We start from the raw sequence: 9,302 nt of genomic DNA on the forward strand, positions 1-9,302 counted from the left end.
GTTGGACAGTTTAAAAGAGTCTGTAGCACCTATTTTCTTTTCAAAAATGCATTGTTATGTTCTGGCACTATTTCCTGAGGAAATTTCTCATTATGTCTTTAGCCGTCTACATGCCTACCTTGGTATTGGGGACTATTGTTTCCACCAGGAAATGCTGAAAGGTGGGAAGCTATAAAGATCATAATTGAACCTACCAATTTCTGTTTCCTATGTGAGCCTATGCATAATAATAAAGTAGACATCCCAGTAGCTAAAATCTATTGAGCACTTTCTATGTGCCAAGAACAAATGCTTTAAATATTAGCGCATTTAACTGCCAAAACAAACATGAGGTAGCACTACTATTATTTTCATTTTATAGATGAGGAAACTGAGATACCAAAATGTTAAGTAACTTGGTAAAGGTCACTCAAATTGTGATTGGAGGTCTTCACCTTGAGACGTCAGTAACTACTGCTCGAAAACCCACGCTCATAATTTTTCCACTGTATTGACTCACAGAAATTATGGGGCAGATTGGCTCATCTATAAATTGTGTTTAATTACTACACAGCTTTTCATAGCTCTCCTGCTTGTGTAATCTATTGCCATTTTACAAGCGTATATTCTCTTGAATGACAAACACATGACATTAAAAATAAAGGAAGCAGAGAAATGGAGTGGAGAGAACAATTTATAGCATTTTCCAAAGCTTTTAAAACCAAGTTATTAGATGTCGTTTAACATTTTAAAATCTCCATCCTTTAAAATGCATAAGGCCTGAAATTAAAGCAAAAGATTTAGAGAGTTCCAAACACAGAGCCAGCAGCACCATCTAGGTTCATGTTATTTTCTTTGAAAGACTATTTTATGTGGTACTGAGTAAAAATGAAACATGATGAAATGGGTTTACTAAAAGTCTGTCCTAAAAATCACCACTCTTCCCTAAATCCATACTCTCGATCTAGTTTTCATTATATCAGAGAAACCACAGTTTGACTTCCCAATTTTTGCTGTGAGGTGAATTAAAAAAAAACATATTACAATACAGCTTTTCAGCATCTGTGTTGGCATACTTATTTTTACTGCTTATTTGATCTTCAGAGTGTTCAGCTTGCTATCAATGATGCATTTTTCACAGGGTTTATTATCCAGCAAGGAAAACCATGCAGAGTTTGGTTACTTTCCTACACTTGGTTCATTGTTTTCACTTTTCTCATGTGGGACAGGCCTTCTGTGGCTTCACACGAAATCCCTTCCCCCAGTCCCGAAATGTTTCCACTAGGTTTGTGGAGGTCATTCTGATAGATAAATTGCAAATCACATGGTTTTCATGTGAATTGGTGTTTATCTCTTTAAAAGAAGTCAGAACTGGCAGAAAATTAATGAAAAATATAACATGCACAGGCTATTCTTTGCAGTATAAATGATAATAGCAAAATACAAGAAACAACCCAAATATCTATATTGTGAGAATGGCTGAATAAATTATGATGCATCCACGCAGTGGTGTACTAAGCAGTTATAAAATGGAATAAAGGATATCTTTATATACTGCTATGTGGAATTGCAAGATGCATTGTTAATGAGAAAAAGCAGAGTTCAGAATAGTACTTACGATGTAATCAATTTATATGTATCTGTGTGTACACATATTTGAGTATGTAAACTTGCTTATATTGTCAGAAAGAAACAATAGACAGTCAATCCAAAAGCTAATAAAAATATTCACCTATGTGGGGAGGGAGAAAACAGGGATTAAGAGGCAGGGATGGCAGCTAGAATTCTCTAAATAAGTTTATTTTTTATTTTGACTTGGAGCGATGCAATGTCTTACAAAATAAAACCAGAAAAAAAAGTAAAGGAGGCTATCTCCCACTGCCAGAAAACCTAAAACCAACTAAAAAAAATGTTGGTTGGTTGGAAACAAATCTTAATAAAAATGTGGCAATAAAGTGCTAAACAATGCAGACAGGTAGATAGATGAGTCAATTTATTTTTATTGAGAAGAATTATCAAGAGGAAATAAAAGTTAGCCTTTTCTCTATATGTCATTAGATTCTAAATCAATTACTGAGGTTTTGATATTTGCTATGAACAAGATCTAATATTACCAAATATCTTCTTGTCCTCTGGGTACAGAAACAAACTAAACACTGTATGAAAATTACACCAAAATATTTACAGGATGCTCGAAGTGGAGGAGGGAGTAAATCCTTGTTCTCATTTGCCTTCCTTCTACTGACATCTCAAGTTCTTTGCTTGTCAGGGTTATAAAATCTGTCATGTTCTCGGATTTCACGGGTTTGTAACGAGGATGGCTGCGCAAGTTTCTCCTTTGTCTGATTGCCCATTTATTCATTCATGGCTGTCAAACACTAGTGGGTGGAGGTTCCTGTTCCCTTCCAGATGTACTGATGAATGCTTTTTGGCTTGCTGACCTTCTTGGGATTTGAAGAGTTACCCATGAGGGTAAAACTTTCTTCCAGACTTTGCCTACCTTATAGAAATCATTATTAGTACTAACATTGTTAGGGGTCTTGTCATTTTAAATACAACAAATTGTTCAAATGAGTGGTAAAATTTAAATGGAAAATAGTGAAAATACTTACTAGAAGTAGAACAAAGGAAAATTATGATAACATAAATTATATGAATCATAGCTAATGAACAGCTGAAGAATTGCTGGTAATTTAGAAGACTTGAACTACACCAAAGACAATTGTGTCAAAACCAAACCTGGTGTGTAAATTGATCTGCCAGTAGGTTGCAACTTGGAGAATCAATCACCTTAGTATGTAAACCTAGCTGTCTTGTACTTGTTTCATCAAAGCAGTATGTAGTATTAGAAAGTTTCTCAGAAGATTTCTGAATGAAATTGACTAGATATTTGATTGTTCATTTTGAAAATGCAGTTGCTGCCCTAATTTTCAGAATTTTACTTGATTTCCTCCCCAAGACAAACTGCAATTGTTTTTGACACATTTTCTTTTCCGTAATTAACAGAAATTTGATTCCAGTTATACTTAGAAAATGGTCACAAAAGGAAAAATACTGTACTACTACTCTGTTCCATAACCATTAAAATGTTTAAAATTTTCTCATTTTGTTAAAAAAGGAAAAGAGTGATCAGTTTTAATAAACTTCTTTGGTCTAAAAGGGAGGCCAAACAAAAACATTTGGAAACAAAAGGATGCTGACAGTATTTAGTATTTTAGAATGCTTCAAAGGCATCCCATGAAAAGATTTGAAATTTGAAACTCCTGGTACTTCCCATAACGTTTACAAATTTTATTATTAGAATGCAGAAATAGATTAGTGGATAGGATCATATACATTTTAAATTAAACTTGATTTTTCAAACATTCAATTTTGTTTTTTGATATAGTATAAGTAATATGATCAAGAAAAAAATAAATAAATTTTATGAAATATAATGAGCACATGATTCCTGAGGAGAAACTCTCTATATATTATTGGTGACGCCTTGATTTTTTATATGCAGTCCCAGTTTTTCATATGCAATAGTTCAAAAACTTTTTAGATCATGTTATTGTGTCTTGTATCAATTATCTTTCTTTGAATGTGGGGATTTATAATGCTTTTTATTTCCCGTGGATCCCTAAACCATTTCTAATCCTGGGACTTATCCATAAGAACGAAATAGCAATTTGGTAAATGTTCCACCCCTCTTATCATCTAAAGGAAATGGGCCAAGATATCAGCACTATGCATTCTAAGAGCACTTAATATAGTGAGAGAAGACTCTCCAGTCCTGTTAATTTTTTATCACAGAACAGAAAGACCTAATGTGTAACTTTTTTTTAAGTCAGCTGAAAGAGATTGGGTGGTGACGATCTTGGCAAATATAAACAGAATACAGATCAAAAAGAACAAGTGAAAGGTCAATTGCTGTGCACCAAGCTGCACAAATACAATCAGTGTCAGGGCTGAAGCTTCACGGTCAGCAGAAGATACAGGTCTCTGTGGCCCACATTCACGGAAAGGCTAATTTGCAATTTTGGGGAGTAACAAAAAAGATACTCCTACTGGAACACTTGATACAAAGAATAGGGTGCAAACTGTGTAGCACTATGCATCTATTGTCAGTATAGCCCAGAGAATAAGATTGCAGGCTCTGAGGCCAGCCTGTCTGGATGGGTTCTCTGCTTTACCTGCTCCGTGGCCAAGGCCAAGTGAATTAGCCCCTCATTTCCTTGTTTTCCTCATCAGTAAACTAGGTATAGTAATAGTGCCTACTTGACAAGATTATTGTTATGATTTAGTGATTAAAAAGATTGATGCACTTAGTACTGGGAACATAGTAAACTTTCAGTTTATGTTATCTAATACTTTTTTCCAAAAAAGGGGATAGAAACGTGGCATATTTCCAAAAACTGTTTTAAAATAATATAGGTGCAAGAGAAAACATGGTCCTTATTACATAGTTTATATATGTTTCAAGGATGACAGACTTTATAATATTCTTCAAGAACTGTATATAAAGAAATGTTACTATATCTATTGATGAAACTGAAAAACATAACTTTCATTTTAAGAGTCTTATAAAGTTATCAAAAAGGACTTAAGTTAGATCTTAGGGAGATGTTCTCATAAAGTTATCAAAAAGGACTTAAGTTAGATCTTAGGGAGATGTTCTCCTGGTAGAGTGTTAATCCAAGATAACTTTACCAAAAGGTGGTTTATATATTGCAGCAGGAGCTACTGGAGTTCCTACCTACATCTTGGAGCCTTCCTACCATGGTCTCATGAGAATTTCTGCGCAAAGGCTTTTTCTGGCGTGTCTAGGTCTGGATAGCTGATGCCCCTGGAGCAGTCCCTAGGTGATGATGGATAGGAGATTGGAATAAATAATCCAGCTTCCTCATCTCTGGCATAAAATCATTTATGTTCATTTCTTTCTTTTAAAAATTAATTACTTTTTAAAAATGATTATATTATAATGTACATATTTATAGGGTACAGTTTGATATTTTGACATCTATGTTATATAATGATCAAATCAAATGTATCATTTCTTTGTGGTGAGAACATTCAAAAGCCCCTTTTCTAGCAATGTTGCAGTATACCTCACTGTTAATCATCTTTACCCAACTGAGCAATAGAATGCCAGATTCTATCTAATTGAAACTTTGTACCCATTGATCAACCTCTCTTCATCCTCTCCTCCCTCATCTCTCTGGTAACCACTGTTCTACTCTCAGTTTCTATGATACCAATTTTTTTTTCACAGTCCATATACAAGTGAGATAAAGTGGTATGATAGTGCCTGATTTATTTCAGTTCTATCTATATTATCACAGATGGCAGGATTTCATTATTATTTCATAATTTACTGTGGCTGAATAGTGTTCCATTGTGTATATATACCACATTTTCTTTATTCATGTTTTCATTGTTGGACTCTTTGGTTGATTCCATGTCTTGGCTATTGTGAATAGCGAAGCAATAAATATGAAAGTACAAATATTTTTTCAACATACTGATTTCATTTCCTTTGGGTGTATACCCGACAGTAAGATTGCTGGATTATATTGAGGATCTGCTTTTAATTTTTTGAGGAACCTCCATATAGTTCTCCATAGTGACTTAACTAATTTACAATCTACCAAGACTGTGTAAGCATTCCCTTTTCTCCACTTTTCTATACTGTCTCCCAGAGGTCTGAAGAAGTAACATTTTTATTATCATGCCCTATATTAACATCTTTCCGTTTTCTGTTTCATTTCTCTATGCTTTACAGTTCTTTCCTGAGATCACCTCCCAAATCCACAACTTTCCCTTTTCATCCTTTTCTCAGTTTCTGTTTCTGGTCGAACCCTAAACTAAAACACTCTCCTCTTCTGATAGAGCTGTAGCAAAAATTATATGTAAAAATGCTTTTAAAGTGACTTGAGGGGTGTTCTCTCAGAAGCAGGGAGATAGATAAACTACATGGCATTTAATTGTTATCTTATGCTATTTCATTCTATTTCCAAATATATGACCATGTGTTTTTACACTCATTTTAATGGGAATTTATATCTCCCATTAGATGTGACTCCACAAAGAAAGGGAAAAGATGTCTGGCTGGCACCCTGAACCTCTAAATTCTCTATCAGTTGCCCAAAGTAGTTCTGAGTGCACAAAAATATAAAGAAGAAACAATACAAAAAATTGTGTTAATTATCTTGGGTCTTTGGCCTCGAATCCTGTGTGGAGCTCTTGGATCTTGTTAGCCAAGCTGTGCTGGCTTCTGGTAGATAGATACCCTGTTATTTTATTCACACTCATCTTTTCCCTAAGGAAGAAAGGCAAGGGTTGGGATTGTTCAGATTCCAGAGTACTAATTGAAGCCAGTTTTGCTAGGGGTAGTGACTTATATGTAAAGAAACATTCTCCATTTTTGATCTGGGCAGGTGAGACTTTACATTTCATTCTATGGTGATTTCCAAGACCTGGTTTGAGCTCTGGGAGAAAAAGAGCAGGCATTACAGCTTCCCTGATTGAGGAATATTTAGATCTAACTACCATAGAAAAATAAAATCCTTCCACATGATGCAACCTAGCTCATTGGGGTTCTGCTTTGGCACAAAACCCAGCTAACAGAAAAATACTATATTTTGTACTCAGCCACAGTTGTGTATACAGGGCCTTTTGAGGAGGAAGTGTTGCCAGGCAAGGCAGGAATCAGGGGATTTGGGGCATCCTGGAGTCTTTCTCTTAATAGCCCTCCCATATAGGATCGACTTCTCACTTGCTGAAAACACGAGAGTCAAGGTAACTTCATTTGTGCAGATGAGGCAGAATAAGGTCTAGACTAAAAGTAGTCTCTATTTACTCCTTCCTTTTCATCTACATTCAAACCTTGGCCACCAACAACCCACTCAGATCACAAGAGGCAAAGGAAATAAACCTAACAAAAATTACACCAAGAGAATGAGAACGTTTTATACTCTAAAATCAAGAGGATAGCAGATACCAGCTTCAATGATCCATCTTTTGGCATTTCTGGGTGCTAAAAGGGCCAGATTCTCAAGCAGTAGTTTTTGTCATTCATTCCATCTGTACTTATTGAGTATCTACTGAACACTAGAAATATCACAATGAAAAGAATTATAAAGTCAAGTGCCTGCCTTAATGAGGCTTACTCTGAACTGGCTGTGTGATAATAACAAAGTAAAGAATTGAGAAAGAAAAGAGATAGAAATTCCTACTCCAGGATGTTGTTTCAAATATAAAATATTATTTTTAAGCAGAACCCACAATTATGAATGTACATTAAAGGCTTAAAGTCATTCACATGGCAAAAAGACATAAATAAATCTGCTAGAGGCTTCCAGGAGATATTCCTAGCTCATGACACAGTCATGGAAAGCAACCCTGTTTCTCCCACTTGACCTGCGTTTATTGTTGTCCTTCCTAGAGCCTTGAGGTGAAATCACATTAGGATGAATCCAACACAGTGTAAAGAAGAAGAAACACAAATCATCTCAGACCTTACAGACATCTTTGTTTTGTGAGATTAAATGATTCTGAAGCCTGTACTCCCCATGGGTTTTCTTGTATTTGAGATACCATGAACCAATGTTATAGGGGTTCCTGTTTCTTTTAGACACAAATATGTTAATGGAATAGAAATTGATATTAACAGTAGGTTCAGTTAAAGCTCCCAGGAAACTGGAAGGTATTTGAGATAGACGACTTGGTCATCTGGAGTTGAAACAGTAGCGTCCATATAGTATTGAGGTATGGGGGTATAGCTGTCCATGGCATGCCACAGGAAACAGCTAAATCAAATATCATCCAAGGTATCAGTCAATAGCAAGGGCTGAAGGGACTGAGTAGCCACTGCCAAGGAACAGCCTAAAGTTCATGGGATAGATAGCTGCTTCTGTTCACACTGAATAGATTAGAGACCACAATGAGCTTGGACAGACTAAACATCAAGCGCTTCCTATGACTGCTAAATGAATCCTCATCTTTTCAATTGCAGAATTGAAATAGCTAAAAAGCAAATGTACTTTATGTTTCTGCGGAGTGTGGATTTCCACATCAAATGACTTTATAACCTCAGCAGAAAACTTATGAAAAAGTTAGGGCAACAGTTGGTAATAACAGAACTCCCAGAACTGGAATGGAGTTACTTAGGATGACATAGAGGACTAAAAGTAACCCAGTTATTTAACTCCAGGGAACTTTCTATGTCAGCTAAAGTAACCCCTTTCCACTTTTTAAGGAGCTGTTCTTGCCTTGCTTACAGACTCAAAATATCACTGGCTGGAGGGAATTACATTTCAGTGGGAAACCTGTTAACCCCATCATAGTGTTTTGTATCCAAATCTATAACTAAATTAGATCTCATAATACTCTGGGGGTGGGGGTGGGGGAGAGAACTTACCAAGTCAAGACTAGTAGGATATGACTTACCCACCAAAAGAATTGGAGTAATTTTCTAATTCATATCAGCAAAAATCTGGGGAATATAACTGTGCTTTCTAGAGCAAAAAGGAAAAAAACACCTTAATTTTAAATTGGGCTGAATTTTTCTAGATGAGAGCCAGAATTCTGGGTTCAATGTGACTTCAACAGCTGGAAGTAATGATAATTGTTTGGTTCAGTGACTAAAATATGGTCTCAGGTGGCTCTTGCTAAGTCAAACTGAGAAGGCAAAAGCTTTTTGGCATAACACCAGTAAAGGAATCCAAAGATATTGGGAGATAAAATGTGATGGAGTAAATTTACCATATGTGGTTGACTTCTCCCCCTAACCCTCACTTTGACCCAGAGAGGGCTCTGAAGACAGAACATTCATCAATGCCATGATAACTATCCTGCTGAGAGAAGTGCCAGCATGTCAGAGATCTTTCCTGGCTGTTTATGAGCTAGAGCTGCTGGAGGAGATGTTGCAGTTGAAATGACTCCCTGATTTCAATGGATAAGGGAAGTTCCTGGGGTGACAGAAGCCAAGTGATTACACTCTATCACCAAAAGCAAGATGGATGTGATTGTTACAATTGACATGAGGCACTTTGTCATAATCAGAGAGGTCTGTTCTGATCTGCAAGACCTTTTATGGTGGATAGACAATTTGGGATCTCTAGGATGAAAACAGATGGTGAGCCCATTAATGTCCTACTTGATTTGTATAACTAGGAAAGGACAAGTCAGGTGAATAAAGGTCTGCTTTGGACACTGCAATAGTGGTAACCCCTCATTCAATTTCCAAAGCCTTTTGAGTGAAGAAAAGTCCAGATATAAGGAAAAAAAATTGCAATAGCAGCCCAATAATGTTCTCTGGGCTCTGTGGTTATTATTATTAT

The sequence above is a fragment of the Homo sapiens genome, chromosome 4 (assembly GCF_000001405.40).
Source record: "Homo sapiens chromosome 4, GRCh38.p14 Primary Assembly".
NCBI lineage: Eukaryota > Metazoa > Chordata > Mammalia > Primates > Hominidae > Homo > Homo sapiens.